This window comes from Homo sapiens, chromosome 12, assembly GCF_000001405.40.
Source record: "Homo sapiens chromosome 12, GRCh38.p14 Primary Assembly".
NCBI classification, from domain to species: Eukaryota; Metazoa; Chordata; class Mammalia; order Primates; family Hominidae; genus Homo; species Homo sapiens.
The window spans coordinates 79,826,577-79,854,499 of NC_000012.12; the positions used below are offsets into that span (position 1 = coordinate 79,826,577).

Below are 27,923 nucleotides of genomic sequence, written 5' to 3' on the forward strand. Positions count from 1 at the left end.
GTGACATAAGGAGCTGCTACTATAGTAATTTTTTAAAAAAGGATATAAGGCAAAATAATTTTACATGCACTCCTTCTCTGATAGCAAAATTATGATAAATTGTATAGCATAGGAATTAGACAATTGTTGGCCAGATGCCAATAAAATGATTTTTCTCATGCATACAATATATTGTGTATGTTTCACTAGAATACTGATTCAGTAGGGGAAACACACCATGTTTCAACTTGTAAGTGAAATAATCCTTTTTGGAAACCATTTCAATTAATAAGCTTCTCTCATCTAGTTCTCATCCGGAGGCTACTGTTACTAAATGAACCAATTATCAGCACTGCCCATATGAATGGACATGTGGTAAAAGGTCACTGTTTGGGAGAGAAGAATGCAGACCAGAGTTCAGAGGCTAATAGGTACCTGCTAATCTTTTCAGAAAAAAATTTCTGAAGGGGAATTTCTACATGAAAAGAGAGGTAACACGACTTGCGAAGCTAAAATTAGCTGGCCTTTTACTTGAATAGTATCAATATTTATTTGTCTTCTAATGCTGATTACAAAACAACTATTATGATGAAAAACAACAGAGAAAGTAAATTATTGAAAGTTTTAACTAAAAATTCAACCCAAAGATTTTTGTATTTGTATATAAGTACAAACCAATCATTCCCCCAAATTTTTTTACTTTCCTTAAGACTTTTACCAATTCCTATGATTTTCATGCCTGCACATTTCTTATATAAAATATATTTTTAAATCAGTTAATGAAAATAAGATATTTAGAACTCTACTCCAAAAACAGCAAAAGAATTAGCCCTGTTTTGAATAAAGATGAGGTCATTTTATGAATCTCTGCTACATAACCTATGATATTATCCTATAAAATGCAATATACAAGGAACATTCTATGGAAAGGTAATCAAACCCACTAGAGGAGACGTGTTTTGAGTTCTCCATGATACTTATTACCTACCAACACAGAGTAGGAAGAGACTAGCAGGAATACTGGTGACTGGCTATTGACTGATAGTGTATCTAAAAAGGAGTAGAGGAGAGAAGTCTAGTTTAACAAGAAACTTGATAACCTGAATCTTTTCATGATTTTGTGAAAAACGCTTGTATGACATTTTCTCCCTCCCTCCTTCTACGTAATTGTGGTATTAAGTACATCATTTACCTCACTCAACTGAACTATTTTCTCATCTACAAAACTAGAAGACTAGATGATGTTGCATCTCAATGATCCCCTTTGGCATAAAACTTTATAGTTATATTTACTGTCATCACCTGCTGTAAGACCTCATTATTCATGTCACTTAAAGAATTCTATAAGCAAGCTAAAAGACCATCAGCTAAAGAATTAGAAACGCACTTCTACGTGTGTTCCAACTCAAAGGGGTGGCAGAAAACATTCACATAGGAATGCAACGTTTTCTTAGCTTCTGAATTCCTAAGAACATAGTATTAATGCAAGTATCCAAATCTACTCTACATGTATGGCAATCTGATTACTGAAAGAGCAATACTTCTTTCTTTGCAGTACAAGGCCAGAACCACCTCATACGGTAGCTGAAAAGACTTAAACCATTAATTAGTAAGTCAGTTGGCTGAAAAAATGTTTTATACAGTTAATAAAAATATAATTATATAATGTAATCCTTATAACCTTTTGAGACTATATTTCTAAATATACTTTCTAAAACTATATTTCTAAAAGTTAAAGTATTAAAATACGTTTAAAACGCCTACCACTTTGTTGACCATCTCCATATCACACAGATTGTCCACTAAAATTCGACATGCTTCTTCTTTACCCCAATGAGCTGCAGCATGAAGAGGTGTCCAGCCATCATAGTCTTTAATATTAACATCATAGCCTGCCTGTATTAAAAGTCTAAAGAAATTACAGTGAATTAGACAATCATTAAAATCTAGAAATAAATGATCATGATCAAAAGCTATCTATCATGCAATTTAACTACAATTTTCAATTAATTTCTTTTCAGAATTTACATCCTTCCCCCTCAATGAATTAACTATGGCAAATACAAAGTAATTCTCAGAAAAAACTCAGAAAAAGAGGATCTTGAGTCATTGCCATAATAATGCAGTTTTAATTAATTCCTAATGACTCTAAGTCTTATGGTTTGGTGTGACACTGATTAATTCTTGTTAATATGACTTGTAAGTGAAATTTTCACAGAAAAGCCCATAATTTTTCAATGTAAAATCGAAAACTGATGAATCACTTTGTATGTAAAACTGATTTATTGCAGGAACTATCATCTTCAGGTTTCCATATAATATATAATCTCGGGCTAAATGTGTTCTAAGAATACACTGGAATCAAAGAAACTTGTTTTGTAATATTTCTGTTGCCTTGAAATTAAGGAGCTGAAAATTTTCAAAGGAAAATGACAATCTTTTAAGAACAAAACAAAGCAAAAAACATATTCCAAGGAGTCGGATCTATTTTTCTGAGCAGTAGAAAGCAGATACTCCAGTCATCAACAAGCTAAAACAGAAACACATTTTAATACAATGCAAAGAGTTGCATAAATTATGTTAGTATGCCCTTCTAACTACATATTGACAACAACCTTTATTTTATTTAGACATTAAGCTCACAGACAGCAAGGATGGGTCTATAAACTGCACATAGCATAGCCCCACACAAACAGGTGAACGAACACTAAATACAACTCATGAAATCTAGTTAACCTTTACCTCACTTTCCAAGATGTTGAGCTTGAGAAGGACCTTCTTTTTACCTACAGGAGGTGGTAGTGACAGCTAATGTATAATCCCCCTTTATTTATTTAAGAACAAATCTGGTATTTCCTAACAATATCTAATACAGCTGTTTCTAATCCTGCCTCCGTAACGGAACCATCTGAAGGGCTTGTTTTTTAAAAATAGATTGCCCAGCTCACCCCAGTACTACTCAATCAGCATATGGAGAGATGGGCCCTGCTGATCTATATTCTTAATAAGTCCCCCATATGATTTTCATATCATTGCCTATCACCTGCCTGCAGACCAACATTTAAGAGCCATTATCTAAAGAAAAGCTGAAAGATATAAGTCCAAAGAAATATCTCCACTGATATATATTATCAGAAACCTTATTAATAGAGGCAGAAACAATACTGGAATGTAAGAGAAAAACGCTGTTCCCCATTAGGAAATATGAACAATAATAATGTTAAATATGCTGAGCAACATTTTTAAGTACTTAGAAGTCTGTGTGGCGAGAAAAAAAGAGGTAAATTTTTTCAACATAAAAAAAGACAGTATCTATATTCAAGGAGCTTTTACTGGAAGTGAAACAACAACCAACTCTCAAGCATAGGTTCTATGAATAGACATGCAATGGGAGTACAAAACTGAAAAGCATCAAAATCAAATTGAAAGGAGTTGTGTGTGTTTGGGAGGGAGAGAAAATGTGAAGAAGGTTACATTTGAAACATCTTTTCTATTGATTTTTATTTCATATATGTTTTAACTTTCATAAGTAATATGTTCACAAAGTTAAAAAAAAAAAGAATGAAAGGATACATAGGGACATCACTCTCTCACCGCTGACTTTTAGCCAACTAGCTTGCCCTACCTCAAAATAACCATACTATTAATTTTTATTGGATCCTTACACAATGATTTCATGCATATATAAGCAAATACAATTTTAATTTTTTTTACAATAAATACAAATGATACATACTTGGATCCTTGATTTTGACATTTCATAATATACCCTAGTGTTCTTTCTATAACAGTATGTAAGGAGATTTCTCATTCTTGTTTTGTTTCAGAATATGCCAGTGAAAGCATATACCATAATTTATTAAAACATTCTCTTATTCCTATTATAAACAATGCTGCTAGCACGTATCTTACTTCCCATGTGAGTGGGAATATCTGTAAAAAAACAAATTCCTAGAGGTAGAATCAGGGAACTAAAGAATAACTGTTACTTTGATTGAATTTGCTCAATTGTCATTTCTACTAGTAAGAGTGCCTTTTCCTACACCCTGTCAACAGGATGTCAAATGTTTTGATCTTTGCCACTCGACAGATGTAAAAGTGTAACTCATTGTAGCTTTATTTGCACTTAATTATGAATGAAGTTGAGCACTTTTTTTCATATGCTTAAGGACCTTTAACTGATTCAAAGGATAGAGCAGAATTTGCCTCCAAGTTGAAGAGATGGTGAATAAAAGCATCCAGACAGAAACAAGGGAAGGCATTAAGACATCATGACAGAACTTCAATAGATATATGTAACTGGCACAATTCATACTTTAGAGGCAATGGTGGTAGCTTAGCTTAAAAGGGAAGACAGTGTCTAGATAATGAAGAATCTATGTACTAAGTTAAGGAGTTTAAAATTTATCCTGATCCCCCCTAAGAACTAATAAAGGATTTTGGGAGCTTGGATAACCTAATTAAAAAGATCATTTGGAAGCCATCCAGAAACTATTTTGCAATATAACTCAGTACTCATATACATATTTACAGAAACAAGTGCTTTAAGAAACAATTCTTACCTTTATGTAATACTCTTTAATACTTTCTATTCTCAAAAAAAAAAATGCTGTTGGCAACTCACAAAAGTTTTGGATTAGAGAGAAACAGGTGGACAAGAAAACTAATAAAAAGGCAACACTGCCATACTATTCTTAGGAAAAAGGCCTAAATTATTGAAGTTGAATAGAGATTGAAAAGAGGAGGCTGGGTGGTGATGGCTCAAGTCTGTAATCCCAACACTTTGGGAGGCTGAGGCAGGCAGATCACTTGAGCCCAGGAGTTCAAGACCAGCCTGGGAAACATGGTGGAACCTTGTCTCTACAAAAAATATGAAAATTAAGTGGGCGTAGTGGCACATGCTTGTAGTCCCAGCTACTAGAGAGGCTGAGGTGGGAGGACTGCCTGAGCCTCTGTCACCCAAGAGGAGGAAACTTGGGAAAGGTGACTCATATATTCTTTACTGCTTTTACTAATGAGTGGGAATAAGAAAGATTGATATTAGAAGCTCAAGTGAATTAGAAGCAATATATTAATAAAAGGTGCAGTAGATTTTGCTAAGTGCTGGTCTTCCTTTCACATACATATAAGAATAATTTTATATATTGAATAATACACAGAATAATTTTCTTCATATAGTTGCCAATATTTGCATTGCAGAAGTAAAAATATTATTGCAACATAAAGAAGCTTTGTTCCAAGCAAATTTGCTAAACAATATACAGCCCTGTAGAGTCAAAGTTGCTTATGGCTTAATATTTTATAGTGTGCTAATAGTACTAAGTTCCAGTGTTCATGTAGTAAAAAAGAAAACTGTATTTAAGATAAGTTACATGTAAATAAATATTCTGCAGGAATCAAGCTCTCAAAACTGATGGTATGTTCACAGGACATTGTTCTTAAGACTCACAAACCAGTTATCAATCTGGAACCTCAAAATGACTCTCTGTAGTGATTTATTAGGCCAAAAGGTCACAGAGAATAGGTGACTGACACTTAAATTCAACTTACTGGAAAATCACAACTGATTAAAAAATAGTAATAATTAGAGAGTTGAAAGAATTTTAGAACAAAAGCAATCATATTCAAAGTAGTTTTTCTCTTTCTTCCTGAAAACAGGCATTAAAGAACTCTTTTATGTTGCTTCAAAATAACGTTTGCAGGTATTTTAAGAAAAGGAACAATGAATAAAGAAGACAAACTAAAATAGAAAAACTCTGTAAAAAACAATACTTACTTTAAAACTTCCGTATAGCCTTTAGCAGCTGCAACGTGAAGTGCTGTACCTCCAGATTTTGCATGCCGGACATCATTTATATGACCACTATTTAGCCACTGCCTGGCATCTCTAAGCATGATCCGTTCTTCTTCCTTTCGAGCTGCTTCTATATCAACCCCTGATAAAATAAAAATAGTTCTTTTTATTTTTGCTTAAAAATTGTTCCATGTTGGGAAATAAAACTATCCAAAACATGTCAAGTTTAAATAAAATTAAAAGTGAAAGTATGTCTTTTTAAAATGGGCTGCTTATAACAAGTTGGTTAAACTAAAAAATGTGGGGATATTGTAGACCTTGTATTAACTTTTTCTACTTATTACTTGGTTTTTGCTTCACAATACTATTTTGATCTTATTTTTCCTTTCTGATTATTCTTCTTGTTTTTTAAAAATTTGAACATTTCCTAAGGTATAAGCATCCTTTGGGCTAAATTTTTTTTTTAACAATTATAATGAATAAGTCTCAAATTTCTATCTACTGTTTTGATCTGTTCTATGAAATCTAGCCTAGCAGGTACAAATGTTTACTGAATGCTTCAACTTGGAGGTCCTGTCTTCATCTAAAATATATCATACCTTAAAATAGATTATTTCTCTAGCAAACTCCCTTCATTTCCTTTTCCAACATAGTACACATTCTTCATACCATTAAAGTTATTTTCATAATTTTAGTAAGTTATATAAATGTTCATTCATTTAAAAGCACTTACTCTAAGCACTACCCTAGGTTGAGGTGATAAAAGTGGAAAGAGGCCAGGCGAGGTGGCTCACACCTATAATCCCAGCTACTTGGGAGGCTGATGTGGAAGGATCGCTTGAGCCAGGAGGTCAAGGCTGCAGCGAGCAATGATCATGCCACTGCATTACAGCCTGGGTGAGAGCAACACCCTGTCTCAAAAAACAAAAAAAGGGAAGAATACAAAAATGAATAGGACCCTCTAATTCCTACCTTCAAAGAGCTCAACACCTTGGAAAAAAAATTAAAGAAAGATACTCTTGAAATTCCTGAATGATTTCATCTGGTCTTATGGCTTTGACTACTTGCTATTTAATAAACAGCACACACCGCAATGCATTTACAATCTGCCTTACTCCACAAGTCTATAGGCCTTTTTATCTTTTATCCCCACTGTCTGGTAGAATACCTGATACAAAGCAAAGGGAGATCAGAGCCAGGTGCGTTGGCTCACACTTGTAATTCAAGCACTTTGAGAGGGTGAGATGGGCAGATCATTTGAGGTCAGCAGTTCAAGACCAGCCTGGCCAAAATGGTGACACCCCGTCTCTACTAAAAATACAAAAAAAAAAAAAAAAATTAGCCAGGCATAGTGGCAGGTGCCTGTAGTCCCAGCTACTTGGGAGGCTGAGTCAGGAGAACTACTTAAGTCCAGGAGATGGAGGATGCAGTAAGCCAAGATCACGCCACTGCACTCCAGCCTGGGCAACGGAGTGAGACTTTGCCTCAAAGAAAAGGAAAAAAAAAAAAAAAAAGCAAAGTACAGGGAGATCAGTAAATGTTCACTAAATGAACAATGAATGAACAAATATAAAACAAGAACACACACACACACATTTCCTCAGCTAAGATTCTCCTATAATCCATATCCATGTATACAACTGTTTGGACAAGATTTTTCATTCATCCATCCATACATTTAATATATACTGAGCACCTACTATTTTGCCAGGTACATTGTTAGATGCTACAGGTATAGATGTGAACTTATTATATGGCAGAAGATGATTCATTTGTGAAGAAAAATAAAGCAAGGAAAGGAAACAGAAAGGGTAATGAGAAGGGATGTTATTTTAAATAGGTTGGTAAAAAATAGCTTCTTTGATGACATTACAAGAAATAAAGTGAGTGACAGCCATACTACTGGGAAAACATTCCAGGCAGAGGGAAGTACCAGTAGGCTCTGAAGTGGGAGCCTGCTAGGAATGTTCTGTTTAGAAGGACAGGGTCTCTACAGAGTAGTAAGGACAATGAGCGTGGTGACACGATCTGACTTAAGAGGATCACTTAGGATGAAAAGTTGAGTAGATACTGAGATACCCACTTGGAGGCTACTGCAATAATCTAGGCAAGCAATTATGGTAACTTGAACAAGGGTGGTAGCAGTGCAGACAGTAAAGTGGTTGAATTCTGGGTTTTTCAAGGCTTACCAAGAGAATTTGCTGTTAGTTTGGATACAGAAGAAAAAGAGAGGTCGAGAATCAATCAGAGGTTTTCAGTCTGAGCAATTGAAAAAATTAAAGCTTCAATTTCGGAAATGTGAAGTTTAAGATGCCTAACAAATATCTAGTCAGAGATATCAAGTAATCAGTTGCATATCTAAGCCTGTAGGAGAGAGAACTAGGGAAATAATAAAATAATATGCCATGGGCATCTCAAACTCAATGCTAAAATCTTAACCAAATTTTTCCCCAACCATTCTATTTGCTGCCTGTCTTGTTTTCCTACACTAAGTGCCCTCAATTACCTAGCAACCTGAAAGTCATCTGAATTTCTCCCTTTACCTTACTCTCACCCCATCTGTGATTGTTAATTGTGTCAACTTAACTGGATTGAGAGATTCCTAGATGGCTGGTGAAGCACTGTCCCTGGGTGCAGTTGAGGGTGTTTCCAGAGGAAAGTGACATGGGAGTCAGTGGCCTGGGAGAGGAAGACCCATCGTCAATGTGCACAGGCACAATCCAATCACCTGGGAGAAATGGGCTGAAAAAGGAGGATTTGCTCTTTCTGCTTGCTCTCTCCCTTCAGGAGGAGGATACCTTTTTTCCTCCTGCTTTTGGATATCAGACTACAGGTTCTTCAACTTTTGGACTCTGGGACTTGCACCAGTGGCTCCTTGGGGAGCTGTCAGGCGTGACAGGCACTGCAGTGTCAGTTTCCCAGCTTCTAGGGCTTTGAACTTGGACTGAAACACGCTACTGGCTTTGAGCCAGCCAGATTACCAGCTTCTCTGGTTCTTCATTTTGCAGGTGACCTATTGTGGGACTTTGCAGTGATTCTGTGTCAGTTGCTCCTAATAAATCCCCTTCCGTATATCCTACAGGTTCTGTCTCTATGGAGAAGCCTGACTAATACACCATCCTATTAGTTACCAGATTTGGAGTTGCCACTTCTAGACTGTCTTCTAAATGGCCCCTATCACTATGCTAGTTCATAGCTTATGTCTCACACTTTGACTACTGCTACCAGCCCTTAACTCATTCCGTCTTTAGTCCCTTCTAATTCATCCCTCAATCTACTGCTGGACTGGAAAAAATAAAACATGATGTCATTGCTTTATATAAAATTTGTCAATGGCTGCTTCTGTAAGACAAAGCTCAAGCTCTTTAGTATACAAGAGAAAGCCTTTTATGACTTGGTCTCAGTGCATTTTTAACTTCATCTATAGTCTTTCTCCCTTACCATCATCTAGTGTTCTAACCATCTAGACCTCCACATAGGTCCCCAAGTACATCATGGTCTCTGCTGTCATGCCAGCTACTATCCTCTACCTGAATTGTATTTTTATTTTGCCTGCTTATTAGCACATTACCATTTTTTCCAAGACAACTAAACTGCTCATTACTCAACTGAAGCTCAGCTTTTAAAAAGCAGACAATAATTCAGAAATATTTTTAAAACTCCAAGATTACACATGTATAGAAAAAGTCATCTTCAAACTAGAGATTATAATATCTCATTACCGCATTTGAAGGAAACTTGAACAAGATTTTCCAAATAGACCTTATGAAAACAATAAATTGTATAAACTATATATGGAATGAACACAACCTATTATGATTTTTATAAAAATCAAATGCCACCATTTCTATAGTAAAGCAGTTTTACTTGTATCAAAAATTTCCCACCAAAAGATAATCAGCCCATTTAAGATATGCCTAATGTTAGTAACCTTTCTATTAAGTGATTTATCTTAGATTTGCTTTTTTAATGTTACTCTCTTACTGTCTTTTAAAACAGGTAGCTTTTTATTATTTTTATCCCTCCTTTCATTACAATCTTAAACGTTCTGATTTTTATTGTCTTTTACTATTCTGTTTCCTTTGAACTTCAAGTTAAAAAAAACCTACTTCTTTTATATTTATCTAATTTCATGCTATCTTTATCTAATGACAAAGCAATTACCCTCTTTAGCTTCCAAATCGTGCTCACATCTGATTCACATATAAAAACAATCCAAGTGTAAAGTTAACGTGAAGGGCAATTCCTTATGTTTAAGAAAATTAAATTAGAAAAGAAAAACCTTTCTCTTGTTCTTAAATTTTTAAAATACTACCGATTAGAGTATGTAGACCGTGCTTAGCTCATCAAAAACTTGAAGAAAAAAAAATCTAATTGTACTATGTATTAGGAGACTTGCTTTCTAAGTTCAGTGCTTTGACTAACTAGCCAGTGATCCTGAGAAAGCCATAGCTTCTTTGGATATTAGTAAGATAGGTTAAGAAAACAGATACTGAACCGAGACTGGCTGGATTTGAATCTCTGATCCACCACTTACTAGCTGTACTCCCTCAGGGTAGACAATCTATGCTATGCTCTGGTTTCATTTGTAAGATGGGAGTGATGCCAATATCTATCCCATATGGTTGTTCTGAAAACTAAATTAATTAATACATATAAAGTGTTTTAGATCAGGGATAAACACTAAGGTGTTAATTATCATTATCAGTTTGAAAAGTCTATGATTCTGCTTCTCTTTTCTTGATTTCTGTTTTAAAAGAAAAAAATCTTATAATGCATTTAACTGGTCCTTAACCCACCTACTATAATTGCAAGGTTTTTAAACAATGAAAATAATATATAATAAAACTAAATTGGGTATAACAAAGTGATTAGACTAACATCTGTCACTATGATTTAAGAGCAGTAAATATTAAAATATAATCAAATCTCTTAGATTAAAATAAATAAAATTAGATTGGAATTTAGTCAGCAACAGATTCAAAAATTAATGTGTCCCTAGATAAATAAAGAAAATAATTACAGCTACTGTTCAATTATTACTACTTTCAAAGGCAATTTATTTAAGCATAACTAGTTATTGATCAAATGTACTGGAATAAGAAAAGCCAAAAGAATGATTAAAAAACTTAAAAATATTAAACAATAATTTTCATACCTAGATAATTTGAGAAATGTTACCACTACTAATGATATGGTTTGGCTGTGTTCTCACCCAAATCTCATCTTGAATTGTAGTTCCCATAATCCCTACATGTGGTGGGAAGGACCCAGTGGGAGGTAACTAAATCATGGGGACGATTACCCCCATGCTACTGTTCTTGTGATAGTGAGTGAGTTCTCACAAGATCTTATGGTTTAAGAGGCTTTTTCCTCTTTGTTCAGCATGTCTCTCTCCAGCCGCCATGTGAAGAAGGACGTGTTTGCTTCTCCTTCCACTATGATTGTGCTTCCCCTTCCACTATGATTGTAAGTTTCCTGAGGACCCCCAGCCATGTGGAACTGTGAGTCAAACCTCTTTCCTTTATAAATTACCCACTCTCGGGTACTTTTTCATAGCAGCATGAGAATGGACTAATACAGTAATTTGGTATCGGGTAGTGGGGCACAGTTGTAAAGATACCCAAAAAATGTGGAAGCAATTTTGAAACTGGGTAACAGGCAGAGGCTGGAACAGTTTAGAGGGCTCAGAGGAAGACAGGAAGATGTAGGAAAGTTTGGAACTTCCTAGAGACTTACTGAATGGCTTTGACCAAAATGCTGATAGTGATATGGACAATGAAGTCTAGGCTGAGTTGGTCTCAGATGGAGATGAGAAACTTGTTGGGAACTAAAGCAAAGGTCACTCTTTTTATGCTTTGGCAAAGAGACCAGTGGCATTCTGCCCCTGCCCTAGAGATCTGTGGAACTCTGAACTTGAGGGAGGTAATTTAGGGTATCTGATGAAAGAAATTTCTAAGCAGCAAAGTGTTCAAAAGGAAGCAGAGCATAAAAGTATGAAAAATTTGCAGCCTGATAATGTGAAAGAAAACCCAATTTTCTGGGGAGAAATTAAAGCTGGCTGCAGAAATTTGCATAAGTAACGAGTAACCAAATGTTAATTGCCAAGACAAAGGGGAAAAGGTCCCCAGGGCATGTCAAAGACTTTCAAGGCAGCCCTTCCCATCACAGGCCTGGAGGCCTGGGAGGGAAAAATGGTTTCATGGGCCGGGTCCAGGGCCCCCTTGCTGTGTGCAGCCTTGGGACTTGGTGCCCTGTGTCCCAGCTACTCCAGCCCTAGCTAAAAGGGGCCAATGTACAACTCAGGCCATCGCTTCAGAGGATGCAAGCCCCAAGCCTTTGTGGCTTCCATGTGGTGTTGGGACTATGGGTGTGCAGAAGTCAAGAACTGAGGTTTGGGAAGCTCTGCCTAGATTTCAGAGGGTGTATGGAAAGGCCTGGATGTCCAGGCAGAAGTCTGCTGCAGAGGTAGAGCCCTCATGGAGAACTTCTGCTAGGGCAGTGTGGAAGGGAAATGTGAGGTCAGAGACCCCACACAGAATCCCCACTGGGGTACTGCCTAGCGCAGCCATGAGAAGAGGGCCACCGTCTTCCAGACCCCAGAATGACAGATCCACTGACACCTTGCACTGTGTGCCTAGAAAAGACAGAGACACTCAACACTGGCCCATGAAAGAAGCCAGGAGTGGGGCTGTACCCTGCAAAGCTACAGAGGCAGAGCTGTCCAAGGCTGTGGGAGCCCACCTCTTACATCAGCATGACCTGGATGTGAGACATGAAGTCAAAGGACATCATTTTGGAACTTTAATGTTTAATAACAGCCCTACTGGATTTCACACTTCCATGGGGCTTATAGCCTCTTTGTTTTGGCCAATTTCTCCCATCTGGAACAGGTATATTCACCCAATGCTTGTACCCTCACTGTGTCTAGGAAGTAATTAACTTGCTTTCAATTTTACAGGCTCACAGGCAGAAGGGACTTACCTTGCCTCAGATGAGACTTTGGACTTGGACTTTTGGGTTAATGTTGGAATGAGTTAAGACTCTGGGGGACTGCTGGGAAGGTATGATTGTGTTATGAAATGTGAGGACGTGAGATTTGGAAGGGGCCAGGAGTGGGATGATATGATTTGTCTGTTTCCCACCCAAATCTCATCTTGAATTGTAGTTCCCACAATCCCCACAAGTCGTGGGAGGGACTCCGTGTGAGGTAACTGAATCATGGGGGCAGTTACCCCCAGTGCTGCTGTTCTTGTGATAGTGAGTGAGTTCCCACGAGATCTGACGGTTTTAAAAGGGTCTTTGCTTGGCACTTCTCTCTCCTGCCACCGTGTGAAGAAGGATATGTTTGCCTTCCCATCTGTCATGACTGCATGATTGTAAGTTTCCTGATGTGTTTGCTTTCTCTTCTGTCATGACTGCATGACTGTAAGTTTCCTGAGGCCTCCCCAGCCCTGTGGAACTATAAGTCAATTAAACCTCTTTCCTTTACAAATTACCCAGTCTTGGGTATTTCTTCATAGCATCATGAGAATGGACTAATACAACTAGAGATATATTTAGGGTGCTTTTTTATAATTATTAAAATCTGTTAGAGATGCCCCTATACTTTTGTTTCTTTGGAATTAAGATATGCTATATAAATTTATGCATTCCCATTATATGTATCAAATGAACATCATGAAGTATTTTCTAGGGAGACATTTTAAATAAAATGCAGTATGGTACAGTGGTACAGAATGTGGGCTCAAGATATCTGTCTTACTGTTTAGGACAGACCTATAGCACTACCACTTCCTACCTGTATGATCTTGGGTAAATCACTAAGCCTCAATTTTCTCATCTGGAAATGGGGTAACAGTAGTATAAACCTCACAGAACTGCTATGAGGATGAAATGAAGAAATGCATGTGAAGCTCTTGGCTCAATGCCTGGCATATAATAAGCATTTAATAACAGTTAGCTATTGTCATTACTACTATTATCATTGTTAGCACTTAGCTTTTCGTCTCCAGGGTCATCTCATCTACTAGTTCCCAGAACTCCCCCTCCTTATGGTTCTCCTAGATTTACTTTTCACATCTTTACATATCCTAAGTTCTAACAATGCACCAACCACTGTCATCTAGATGTCCTTTAGTACTACAAACCCAATATATACTCATGAAGTCCCTCAGTCTGGTTCTGTCTTATCTCACACTTTCCTACATGAACTCATCTAATCATCACTTCTTCAACTGGAAACTTTAGTAAGTTAGGCTTAATTCTTCCTTCATATCTGCATTCAATTCTTTACCAAACTGTTCTAATTTTACTTCAATATTTCCTCAAGACAGCCTTGTTCTTCATTTCAAATGTAACAGGTTTTGGCTCTTATCATCTTTCACCTGGACTAATTTGAGAATCTTCTTCAAGGAATGCGTGTCACCATATATCCTACATTCTATTTCATCCTCCAAGTTGCCATCAGCTTTATACTAAAAACCAAATCCAATCAAATTAATTTATTGCTTGGAGATATTTGCTGCATCTATCCAATGTCTACAAAAATAGATATCCTTCACTATCTGGCTCTGACCTATCTTTTCAGGCCTCATCTCCTACAAATCCCGCCCTGACTTTGAATCTCAATTCCAGTCCCAATGAATGTGTCTGTCTTCCAGTCCACATATGCTATGTATGTCTCCAATTCCTTTTTATTTAAAAAAAAAAAAAAAAAAGAGAGAGAGAGAGAGACAAGGTCTCACTCTGTTGTCCAGGCTGGAGTGCAGTGATACAATCGTAGCTTACAGTAACCTTGTACTCCTGGCGTCAAGCAAGCCTCTCATCTCAGCCCCCCAAAGCAATGGAATTATAGGCAAGAGCCACTGTGCTTGGCCTTCCAACTCCTTTTCTTTCACATTTTGATACCCCGCCTTTTCTGTCCACCAGTTCCTTTCTTTGCCAAGCCAACTCCCTCTAAATGTCATCACTCTGAAACCTTTCCTCACTACAGCTTTTTCTATTCTCTCACAACATTCTGTTCCTATATATTTTAATACATAGCACACTGTATTGTGAAGCTCTTCGTTTGACACTTCTGCTAGACTGTGAAATCCTTAAGAAGGATTGTCTTGCTTTTTTTATTGTTAACACCCAGCACATAGAACATTTGCTGGCACATTAATCAGTTCTAAATGAATCATTAAAACTAAAATCAGCCCCGCTTACAGTTACGCTAGCAATTTCCCTTATACAGAAGGAAACCAAATGCAAGAAATTTTCAGTACAACTCCATGCCTTTTCTAGTTCATAACAACTGCTAATATCAGATAAAAAATAGGAGCCTTAAATGTTTACTTTAAAGAATTACCATTGTTTGACAGGAAACTGTTATCTGAGCACTCATCACAGCAAAATGGGCAGGGAAGTTCTTGCTAGGTTGTGATGCTTTATACTTATTCTTTAGTTTACTCAATTCTAGAAGATCCTATGACTCTAAAACACTTGTCTAGAACATGGCTGTTGAAAGCTCTTCTGTGTGTTTATTCAGGCTCCAGTTTATAACCACTTTTCTATTGCATTTCTTGTTTTTTTTAGGCTCTAGTTATATTTAATCACTTTTTATAACACCTCAATTCTATTTTAGGTATTTATTTTCTCAGTTTTCATGCTTAAGATAGTTTTTTTTTTAAACAAACCCACAGTTGGCTAGATGCGGTCGCTCATGCCTGTAATATCAGAACTTTGGGAGGCCAAGATAGGTGGACTGCTTGAGTTCAAGAGTTCAAGATCAGCCTGACCAACACAGTAAAACTGCATCTCTACTTAAAATACAAAAATTAGCCAGGTGAGGTGGCATGCGCCTACAGTCCCAGCTCCTCAAGAGGCTAAGGTGGGAGGATCGCTAGGGTCTGGGAGGTTGAGGCTATAGTGAGCCATGATTGTGTCACTGCACTCCAGTCTGTCTCAAAACAAACGAAAACAAAACAAAACAAACCCGCAGTCATTAGGAATTTTCCTAATCCCAAGGAATAAAAATCTCCTTTCATGGAATTTATTTACCTTCTATTCCTTTCTAATCCTTAGTTTCTATTTTCTGATGAAGCACATTTCAGCAGGAGTTGGCCCTCTACATCAATATTTCATACCATTCCTCTATCATTTGACCTCAGTAAAACACAGCTCTAATAATACCTGTTTGATCACTGCCTAATGGACTATAACAAAAATCACATGTGGCACTTTGTGTGTGTGTGTGTGTGTGTGTGTGTGTGTGTGTGTGTGAGTCCTGCCCAAAGGTACTGCAGAAGTAATCACACATACATAAATTTTTAATTGTAGTAAAATAAACATAAAAATAAAATTTACCATCTTAACTTTTTTTTTTGTTTTCAGAAAGGGTCTCACTCTGTCACCCAGGCTGGAGCACAGTGATGTGATCAGATCACTGCAGCCTGGAACACACGAGCTAAAGCGATCCTCCCCCCTTAGCTGGGATTACAGGTCTTAACTATTTTTAAGTGTACAGTTCTTAAGTACATTCACATTGTTGTGTAACATATCTACACAGCTTTTTTCATCTTGCAAAAGAAAAACTCTGCCATTAAAAAACAACTCCCTTTTCTCCCCTCCTTCCAGCCCCTGGCAGCCATCATTCTATTTTCTCTATGAATTTGACTATTCTAGGTACCTCATATATGTAGAATCATTTGTTTTTGGTTTTTTTTGATCACTGGCTTATGTCACTTACCATAAAGTCCTCCATGCTGTAGCGTATGTTTGATTTCCTTCCTTAAGGCTGAATAATATTTCACTGTATATATATTTCACATTTTATTTATTCATCCATCAATGACACTTGGTTTGCTTTCATCTTTTGGCTAATATGAATAATTTGTACACCCATGTTTGTACAAATTATTCAATTTCAAAGAGTTGAGTTGTTTTAAATTCTTTTGGGTAGGCTGGGAGTGCTGGCTCATGCCTGTAATCCCAGCATTTTGGGAGGCCCAGGCAGGAGGATCACCAGAAGTCAGGAGGTGGAGACCAGCCTGGCCAACACGGTAAAACCCCATCTCTACTAAAAATACAAAAATATTAGCCAGGCACGGTGGCAGGCGCCTGTAATCCCAGCTACTCGGGAGGCTGAGGCAAGGAGAATCACTTGAACCCGAGAGGCAGAGGTTGCAGTGAACCCAGACTGCAAAGGTTGCAGCGAACCCAGATTGCGCCACTGCACTCCAGCCTGGGTGACAGAGCAAGACTCTGTCTCAAAAAAAAATATAGATATAGATATAGATATAGATATAGATATAGATATAGATATAGATATAGATATAGATATATGGTAAATTTCTAGAAAAGGAGTTGCTGGATCATTTTTTTTTTTTTAGACGGAGTCTCACTCTGTTCTCAAGGCTGGAGTGCAGTGGTGCAATCTCAGCTCACTGCGACCTCCGCCTCCCGGGTTCAAGCAATTCTCCTGCCCTCAGCCTTCTGAGTAGCTGGGATTACAGGCGCCCACCACCACGCCCAGCTAATTTTTGTATTTTTAGTAGAGACAGGGTTTCACCATGTTGGTCAGGCTGGTCTCAAGCTCCTGACCTCGTGATCTGCCCGCCTTGGCCTCCCAAAGTGCTGGGATTACAGGCATGAGCCACTGCTGCCAAGCTGGATCATATTTTATATATACATACATATATATACACACACACAGCTTTATTAAGATCTAATTCACAGCATTTACATAGCATTTAAAGTGTAGAATTCAATGGTTTTTTTTTAGTAAATGTGAGGAGTGGTGTAACCATCACCACAATCAACTTTAGAATACTCATCACTCTTGAGTAATGAAACTCTGTGCCCGTTAGCAATCACTGTTATCTATAAATGAACACCTCCCAAATTTACATATCCATTTTGTAACTGCAGACTCGCATATTCAACAGTTTGGATATCTAACACGCAAAACAAATTTAACATGCCTGAAAATGAAGCCCTAATATTTCCCTATAAAACCTACTCTTCTTACAATCTTCACATCTCAGATAGGAACTTCATCCATCCATTTGTTCAAACCAAAAATCTTAGAATCTTCTTTTTTTCACACCTTCTAGCTAATGACTCAATAATCCTCTTGGCCAAACCTTCAAAATATATCCATAATCCAATCTCTTCTCATCACTTCATCTACTACCAGTCAAAAATAAATCACTTTATTTTGTCTGGATTATGTCAGTTATTTCCTAACCCTTCTCCTACTTCTGTCCTTGTCTTCCTACAATCTATTTTCAACACAAGAGCCAGAGAGATCCTTTCTAAAAGTATAACAAATCATGTCAATCCTCTGCCTCAATCCCTCCATTGGCTTCCTATTTCACTCAGGTTAAAAGCCAAAGTCTTCCCAATGGCTCACAAGGCCTTAAGGTGATATGACCTCCTGCTACTTCTGTGACCTCATCTCCTTCCTGCCTCTTCCTCTGCTCTGCCTCTAGCTGCTTCTCTGCATATACAAGACAACCTCCCATTCTTGTATTCATTGCTCCCCTTGTCTGGAATGCTCTTTCCCCAGATCATCATGACTCATTCCCTCATTGTATTCACATCTCAGCTTAAATGACCCCTTATCAGTGAGCCTTCTTGACCACACTATTTAACTTTGCAATGTGCCACTTACCCTGTGCACTTTCTATCCCCTTTGCCTACTTTATTTTGCTCCAAAACTTTTACTTCCACATAATTTTATGCCTGATCCTGCTGCTTCTAACATTTCTTTTAACTTTAAAAATACTTAAAAGATAGAGTGGAGAATATTTTAGAAAACAGAAACATACTGTACTATTGTTTTGCAAGCTGAATTCATTTTTTTCATGAAATTATGATTGCCCTTCAATGTCAACAAATATTTTTGCTGGAAAAGTATCACATTCTTTCTAAAACATTTTTCCATTTAGGTTGCTTTTTATTTTACCTTGCCGATTAACTTCATTTTGAAGTAGCTCTTCCATTGCCTCCTCCTCCGCAATATCTAAAGGTGTATCTCCTTCACTGTTGACAGCCCCTACATGTGCTCCTTGACCAATCAAAAACCTGTAAAACCAAAGGAAAAATAGTTAAGCAAAAGATATTATCATTGAAATAAAACTAAATGCATAACCAATGAGGAAAGTTCCTATATAAAGCAGCAATAAAGGGCAGTATATACATTATTTAAATTTTAAAAAACTATCAGGCCAGGCGCAGTGGCTCACGCCTGTAATCCCAGCACTTTGGGAGGCCAAGGCAGGCGGATCACGAGGTCAGATCAAGACCATCCTAACACGGTGAAACCCTGTCTCTACTAAAAATACAAAAAATTAGCCGGGCGTGGTGGTGGGCGCCTGTAGTCCCAGCTACTCAGGAGGCTGAGGCAGGAGAATGGCAAGAACCCGGGAGGTGGAGCTTGCAGTGAGCTGAGATCAAGCCAAAAAAACAAAAAACAAAACCATCTAGAGCATGTTTCTTTTTTAAATTTATATTTCCTAATTTTTCTATAATGTACACACGTTGCTTTACCAATACAAAAATGTTAATTTTTAATAATAATTAGAAAGTCTCATAGGATCCACCTCCACTGAGACTTCTCATTATCTCCATATGGACTGGTTTCCTTACTGGTCTCTGCGCTCCCAATCTCATCCCGCAAACAAGAGTTCTTAAGCTGGGGTTCATGGGTAAAATTCAGAAGGTTCATAAAAAATTCAATTAACACAGATACATTAAATTATTGCTTATCATTATTTTAAAATTAGCTATTAAACCCACCACTAGGTCTTTTTAATATTTTACTAAAGAAGCAGACAGATAATTATACTACAAATATATTTTTTAAATATTTTGATAAGTGCATTCCAATATAATTGGCTTCTGTGTACTCTGTATTTTATTTTAAGCATCCAAAACACAATTCTAAGAAAGTATCTATAGGCTTCATCAAACCTGCCAAAGGTATTCAGATACAAAAAGGTTATTTATCTATTTAATCATGTCAACAGCACATCTCCCAGAGTCATCTACTGAACGATGTAACTAACCATCTATTACCCAAGTCAATTTCTTTTTTCTCTCTGTTTTTTTTGAGACAGAGTCTCGCTTTGTCACCCAGGCTGGAGTGCAGCGGCGTAATCTCTGCTCACTGCAAGCTCCACCTCCCAGGTTCATGCCATTCTCCTGCCTCAGCCTCCCCAGTAGCTGGGACTACAGGCACCCGCCACTGCGCGTGGCTCATTTTTTTTTTTTTTTTTTGTATTCTTAGTAGAGACGAGGTTTCACCGTGGTCTCAATCTCCTGACCTCGTGATCCGCCTGCCTCGGCCTCCCAAAGTGCTGGGATTACAGGAGTGAGCCACCACGCCTGGCCTACCCAAGTCAATTTCTAACTTAAAAAATTTTTCGATGGCTCTACCATGCTAGGAGAAAAGATAATGTACAGCCCTCACTGATCTGGCCTTGTCTTCTTTTTCAGCCTCCTCCTTCTTCCGGCATCACACTTTAGGCACCAACAATATAGAACTACTTGTAGTTCTAAATTAAACCATTTGATTTGGGTATCCCTGGTTTTATTTTTCCATATATAAAGAATGGGTCTTTTCCTTTATGTTCCTAACCAATTTAGCTCCTTCATACTTCGACTATATAAAAATATTCTAATTATAAAATAGTTTTTTAAAAAAAGTACACGTCCACAGAGGGAAAAAGGAACTCCTTTATTCCTCTCCTACTATTATGTTCCCTCCCCCAGAGATAAACACTATCAACAGTAGGGCAAAAATCTTTCCAGTACCTCTGCCATAAATTTATATGTGTGTAAACATATATACACCATCACTTTTGGGGTTCTTTTTGTAAAGCACAAATTAATGAGATTATTCTAAATGAAGTATAATGTAACTCTTCCCTTCTAACACCTGAAAAATATTCCATAGTATGTCTGGTTCATACCTTCATTTAATATTATTCTCTTAATAGATGTGCACTTAAATAGACAGTTGAAATTCACAATTTTTAAAAAATTTTCCCAACATCATGAAGATAAAACATGTTGTCATTGCTTTAATTTGTATTTCCTGATTACACATGAGACTGAAAATATTTAGATATATTTACTGGCATTTGTATTTCTCCTTTTATGAACTGCTTATGTACATTCCTTGCTGGTATTTCAAACGTATTCATTAATTCAACCAATATTTATGGAGTGTCTAGTATGCATCTGGCACTATGTTACATACCAGGAATATAAAGGTAAACAAAAAGAAACACAGAATTGCCCTTCAAAAAGTTTATAGTCTAGTAAGACAGTCAGATTAAATACACAAATAAATGTAAAGCTGTGGTAGGTCCTGTAACAGAATAAGGTAGTGTCTAGGATTAATAGGAAAAATGGATTTAGTGAAGTCAGAAAAGGATTCTCTGATGATTATGTAGGTGCTAACAAAAGAGAACAGAAGGGCAATGTGCTGTAGGTGAGAAGGAACAAAATAAAGTCCTGTGATAGGAAGTATATACAGCCAGATGGAGGCCCAGTTCATTTTCCTTAGAATAAATGAAATAACTGATCAATCTCTATATCTTTTACACACACACACACCCTCCCTCTAACAGTGGGTACCTCTAAGAGATAGAGGAAGAGAGATTTGTATTGGTTGTTTTGTGTGTTAACCAAGTTTTCTGTAATAAGTTTGTTCTGGACATGTGTATCTGATCACAAAAATGGCTACTGTATCATTTTGTAGTTTCATGTTTTAAATTTAAAAATATGCTGTAAAAGTTTTATCATCTTTATGGAAATTCTACAAACAGAAGTTAGACTTGAGGTAATTTTTCCTGTTTTCATAGTTTTGAAAATGTATATAAAACTAAAAAGAATATTTCCTCATATACTACAAATAAATAAATGAGTCTAAAGCAGAAAGGTAAGATATAGTGGAGTCTTGCTGTGCTATGCTCTGAGAGAATATGTAATTATTCTCCTAGGCAAAATTCCAAACAATTAGGAATATTTACATAAAAATACATCTATTCTGCTTGGGTATCACAAATCATTCAAAGGATACAAAGATTGAGAATAAAAGGAATATCTCAGACTAGCTGCAGCTTGAAGTACAGAAAGCAGAGTTTCAAGGAAATACCAGGTCAAAGCCAAATACGGACAATACAGAATTTATATAAACAGGAAGGATGTTAAGAGAAACTAACAGAGTAAAGTACCAAAACTGCTGGCAGGAAGCAGCGCCCAAAGCAATCCTTGAGCCAAAAGATTACGTACGTGTGTATGTACATATGTATGTATGTACTTATGCATGCAAACACACAATTCACAAACTTCTCCTGCACTCTAGAACTATTACTTGCAAATGTAAATGTTACAAAGGCACATTTGAAAAAATAATAATAAATAATAATAAACAAAATCTCACGGACTGATTAATCCTATGGTGGATTAATTCTTATCTACCATAAATAGTCTCCAAAAGCAATTCAAAGGTTGGAGGGGTGAAAAAAGCAGAAACTTTTATGCTCTGCAGACTTCGGGTTCAGTTCCCACCTCTGCCTGTTGACACCTGTGTGACATTCAAAGATATAGTTGAGTATAATACATTGTAGTTATATATTATTTAGTTATAAGTTATATATATATAAAACTTAACTAAAATCTAATTTATAAAATAACTTTACTGGGCAATGTGGTTTAAATGAGTTAAAAATAAAATTAAAGTACTATCTGTTGTCATATGCAAAATTATCACATTTAGGAAGCAATGTTTCACTTTGGTAGGCCAAGGTGGGCAGATCATCTGAGGTCAGAAGTTCGAGACCAGCCTGGCCAACATAGCAAAACCCCAACTCTACTAAAAAAATACAAAAAAATTAGCTGGGTGTGGTGGTGCACACCTGTAATCCCAGCTACTTGGAGGCTAAGACAGGAGAATCACTTGAACCCAGAAGGCAGAGGTTGTAGTGAGCCGAGATTGTGCCACTGCATTCCAGTCTGGGTGACAGGGCTAGACTCCATTTCAAAGGGGGGAAAAAAAAAAGAAAGAAAGCAATGTTTAAGATAATGTTAAACAAACTACAGGCTATCTGGAATATGAAAATTTCACTTTGAAAGACCCTGGAGATATTGAAAACAGACATCTAGATTTCCTTCAGAACAAAAGCTGGGGTATTAGAAGCTACTTGTGTGGCTATTAATTAGGAAAAATATGCCATAGTTATTCTAAGATTCCTTGGAAAGAAAACAAACAAACAAACAAACAAAAAAACAGATTTTCACACAGGTGTTCCAAACTGAAAGTTAGATGACTGGGCTACTTTTCAAATGAACAACCGTATTGAGTGCTTCAGGGTAAAGAAAATCAGGCCTATATTTTCTTAACAATACTTAGTAATTTCCTTAAGCAAATCAAAGGTAGTCAACATAAGAGATGCCACCTAGTACAGGATGAAATTCTTTTTTATCTTTATTTTTGAAGAGACAGTCTCATTCTGTTGCCCAGGCTAGAATGCAGCAGTGCAATCATAGTTCATTGTAACCTTGAACTCTTAGGCTCAAGCCATCCTAACTGCCTCGGCCTCCCTAGTTGCTAGGAATACAAGAACATACTACAACACCCAGCTAAATTTAAAAAAAAAAAAATTTAGGGATGGGGTCTCCCTTTGTGGCCCAGGCTGGTCCCAAACTCCTGGCATTATGCAATCCTCCCACCTTGGGATTACAGGTGTGAGCCACCGGGCCCAACCATTAAATTCTTAACAAATTGTAGAAATGAAAAATGGTAATCTGACAGATTTAATTGAGATTTATAATACTCTAGAAACTCTGATTTGATAATTTTAGATAGATAAATGAGTAAGCTTCCAAATCAAGACATGATCCAAAAGGATTTTTACAAAACTATTTATGTGCTAACTGGAAAATCTAACAAAAGGTATAAAGTTAACAAAGCTATTGGTTGCAATGTGAATATGGTATATTAGATAAACAGGTGAGATTCTGGGTTAACTGACTTTGGAAGACAAATTTTGATAGTCTCCACTATCTTCTGAGTTTTGTCAAAAACCAAACCACAGAAGCAAATATTTAAGAAAAGGAAATAGCTATTTAAAAATTTTCATCTTTTAAGAAAAAATTTAAGAAAAACTTTGTCTTTAAACCAGAAGCTAATGAGAACTTAGTGAAGAGAGACAAAGAAAGCAATTATCAGCAAGAGCTAAATATATTTAGTGTCCAAATTTAATGTATATTTTCTTATTCAGTTGATATGGTTTGGCTCTATGTCCCCACCCAAATCTGATACTGAATTGCATTTCTTAGTGTTGCAGCTGGGGCCTGGTGGGAGGTGACTGGATCATGAGGGTGGTTTCTAATGGTTTAGCACCATCCTCTTAGTGCTGTCTTAGTGCTGACAGAGTTCTCACGAGATATGGCTGTTTGAAAGTGTGGAGCACCTCCCTCTTTGCTCTCTTTCTCTCTTCTTGCTGGCCATACAAAGATGTGCACACTTCCCCTTTGCCTTCTGCCATAATTCTAAGTTTCCTGAGGCTTCCCCTGCCATGCTTCCTGTACAGCCTATGGAACTGTGAGTCAATTATACCTCTTTTCTTCATAAATTACCCTGTCTCAGGTAGTTCTTCATAGCAGTGCAAGATTGGACTAATACATTATTGTAGAAAAAGTAGTATTAAAAAGTTATTTTAACCAATATACAAAGTTTTAAAAATCAGAAAGTCAGCAAAATAGCATTGTAATAGTTATATGCTTCTTGAAAATCTGAAAAAATTACTCAAAGCCATCCTAGGAGAAATTATGAAAATTAAACTATCTGAACTATTCAAAGATTAAGCAGAACATTACACTATTCAGAAATAAATGCTATTTTCATTAGCAAGTCTCTGAGCAACAAAATGCAAAATAGTAAATAATCTTATGATTATTTCTCATTAGTAGAAATGCACTTTCCCATTTTCTTTTGAAAGTTCTGTATCCCAATGAAAGATACTGTGTAACATTATGAATCCAAACAAAAGTTCTGACCTCAGACCTTTGAAAGTTTTCTTAAAAATAACAGTTCTTTTCTATCAGTACTTAACAAATGTGACATGTAGTCTCCATGATTTCTGATGAGAAATCTGCTGTCATTCAAACTATTTATCCCCCCTCTGGTATAGTTTCTAATTTCTTTCAAGATTTTTTAATCTTCAATTTTCAAAAGTCTGCATATGCCATGTCTTGGTGTGGACTGCTTTGGTTTACCCTGTTAGGAGTTTGCTAGGTTTCTTAAATCTGTAGGTTTATGTCTTTTGCCAAATTTGGGAAAAGTTTTCAGTGATCATTTCTTTTAATACTTTTCCAGCCATGCCCTCTTTCTCCACTTCTTCAGAGAGATCTGATGGCATAGATGTTTGCTCTTTTGCTACAGTCCCTGAGGCTCTGTTCATTTTTAGCCTATTTTCTCTCTGCTGTTCAGATTTGGCAATTTGTATTGTTCTATCAGTTTACTGAGTCATTCTTCTATTTCCTCCATTCTGCTACTGAGCCTATCATCCATTGAAGTTTTTAATTTAGTTACTGCATTTTTCAGCTCTAAAATTTCTATTTGGTTCTTCTATTTATTTCTTTGCTAAGACTTTCTATTTTTTCATTTGTTTCAGGCATGCTCATTCATAATTGCTTGTTGAAGCATTTTAAGATAGCTGGCTTTATAATCTTTGTCAGATAATTTTAATATCTGTTATCCTGGTGTTCATCTCTATTAATTGTCTTTTTTCACTCAATTTGAGATCTTCTAGGTTCCTAGTATGACAATTTTTTCTTTTTCTTTCTTTTTTTTTTTTTTTGAGACAGGGTCTCACTCTGTTGCCCAGGTTGGAGTGCAGTGGCATGATCACAGTTCACTACAGCCATGACCTCCCCAGCTCAAGTGATCCTCCCACCTAAGCCTCCCGAGTAGCTGGCATTATAGGCATGTGCCATCACGCCTGGCTAATTTTTTTTTTCTTTTTTTGGTAGAGATGAGGTTTCGCCATGTTGCGCAGGCTGGTCTCAAACTCCTAGACTCAGGTGATCCACCCACCTTGGCTTCCCAAAGTGCTAGGATTACAGTCTTGAGTCACCACACTCAGCCAGACAATTTTTAATTAAAATCTGCACACTTTGGGTATTATAAGACTCTAGATCTTACTTAAATTTTCTGTGTTAGTTGGCTTTGTTTGATTTTGCTCCAGCAGATGAAGATAGTGAGGTGCCATTTCATTTCGGCAAGTTGGGGGTAGATGTTCAGGTTCCCCACTTGTCCTCCATTTACACTACAGATGGGGCAGCTTCTTGATTCCCCTGGGCTGGGTGGGAATCCTGACTCTCCACTCCACCTCCACTGACATGTCTCTGGCTGAGAAGCTACTGCTCCCATGTAGCCTCTACTAATACCCCTGGGTGCTGGGGGTTGGGGTGCATAGGTAGAGAAAGGCTTTTTTACTGCTTAGAAGTGGTGAAAGCATTCATTCTCCAATAGGACTCCTCTGATGCCACTTAGCAGGGAAGGACAGAAGCTCCTCTTTACTCCCAAATAAACGTAGAAGTTTTAGCTTCCCACATGGTCTCCAGTAACACTACAAGTTGGGGAAAGGCTAGTTAACCATTCTATGGGAATTAAAGTCCCAACTCTGTACCTGGCCTAATCTGACACAATTCCAGTGGAGGAGGTGTTAGGGTGCCTCATAACAGCTTGGTGAGGATGGAAATCTAGGATCCCTACTTGGCCTTTGCAGCTATGAGTGTGACCAATGTTTTTTTCTGTGGTGTTTGGTTGAAGTAGAATGGTTATTCTCAAAAAGTTTTCTGTCTTGCTATGGTGTCCCTCTACTAGTATTTAAAAGACTGGGCTTTTGCTGGCGCTTTCTTTGTCTGTGGCCATTGCACTTCTGGGTTATCAGCTTCTTTAGCTCTAATTATGGAATATATGAGGCTAAAAGAAAAGGCAGGGAACTACTGCAGTGTCATTATTTGGGTCCTGAGATCCCTAGCTCCTCTGCCTTATTCTCTCCACCTTTCAGAGTCTTCTTGTGTTTTACGTATAATATTCAGAGTTTTTAGTTGTACTCAGCATATAGTACAATTAATTATACCAGTAACAAAGACCAAGCTAACACTTATGAGAGAAATTAATCTATTTGTGAAATGGGTCACCTAGATTGTCATTTATAAAAGATAAATTCACAATCAGGGGAAGTATTTACATTTTCTTCATAAAGTAACTCTTAAACATAGGAAATGCTCAAGACAGAATCTTTCTCTCAATTTTTCCCTAGAGAATTGATTCTAAACCTCTTCAATCATGTATTAACTCTTGAAAACCATGTATTTATTAAAAACATTTACATGCCTTAGCATCTTACTTTATTACTGCAACTTCCAATTCTCAGAGGCAAAAGTACTACTTATTGTTTAACAATTCTAAGATGCACATTTCCTACACATTTTAATGTCATTGAAATCTTTTACAATCAATGAATCTTAAAATCAATGACTTTGTATAATTGATGTTGGCCAGGTGGCAGACATGACTGGGTTGTCATTATCATCCACATGTGACACCAGTCACAGCTATTCATATTGTTTTCACTTCAGTTGAGTTATGTGTGTTGTTGGAATCGTATCTGTTGACCTTAACTATTACATAAAATTTCTTCTGGATGTTGTCTGAAAACTTTATGTTGATATTTTATGGTAAGATCAAGAAAGTGCCAAAATCAAAGCTTGCAGAATGCCTATCAGTGACGCAGAAGAAAATCCCAAGCAAGCAATGTTATATACTCTAAGCAGCACAGAGAATGATACTGTGTGTGTGTGGCGGGGGGGCAGGGGAAATTTATGGGATAAAAACAAATACTGCACCATAATTTTATTTAATTTTTAAAATCGGTATTTATGATGTTACAACAATGGCACCTTAGATCTGATGAAATCCAGTATGTGCATTATAAATATATCCAAAATATTTCTGGCTTCCTACTGTACTTTTTCCATTGATAGCTCAAATTAGACCAATCTAAATTAATATTCTACTACACTGTCTCCCTCTTCTTCAGCTTCCCCTAATTCCGCTCTTTAGATCCCTTAATAAGTTTAA

General features: G+C 36.9%; 1 protein-coding gene across 5 annotated transcripts in view; it reads right to left on the minus strand.

Annotated features, from left to right (window-relative positions):
* The window catches only part of PPP1R12A (protein phosphatase 1 regulatory subunit 12A), a 161,898-nt gene that overhangs the window by 53,014 nt on the left and 80,961 nt on the right, over nucleotides 1–27,923 (minus strand). For all 5 annotated transcript variants that reach the window (NM_001244992.1, NM_001244990.2, NM_001143885.2 and 2 more), the window contains 3 exons: nucleotides 18,726–18,844; nucleotides 5,756–5,915; nucleotides 1,744–1,888 (listed from right to left, as the gene is read on the minus strand). In NM_001244992.1, coding sequence (NP_001231921.1) covers nucleotides 1,744–1,888; nucleotides 5,756–5,915; nucleotides 18,726–18,844 — 424 coding nt within the window. The remainder of the gene's footprint in view (nucleotides 1–1,743; nucleotides 1,889–5,755; nucleotides 5,916–18,725; nucleotides 18,845–27,923) is intronic.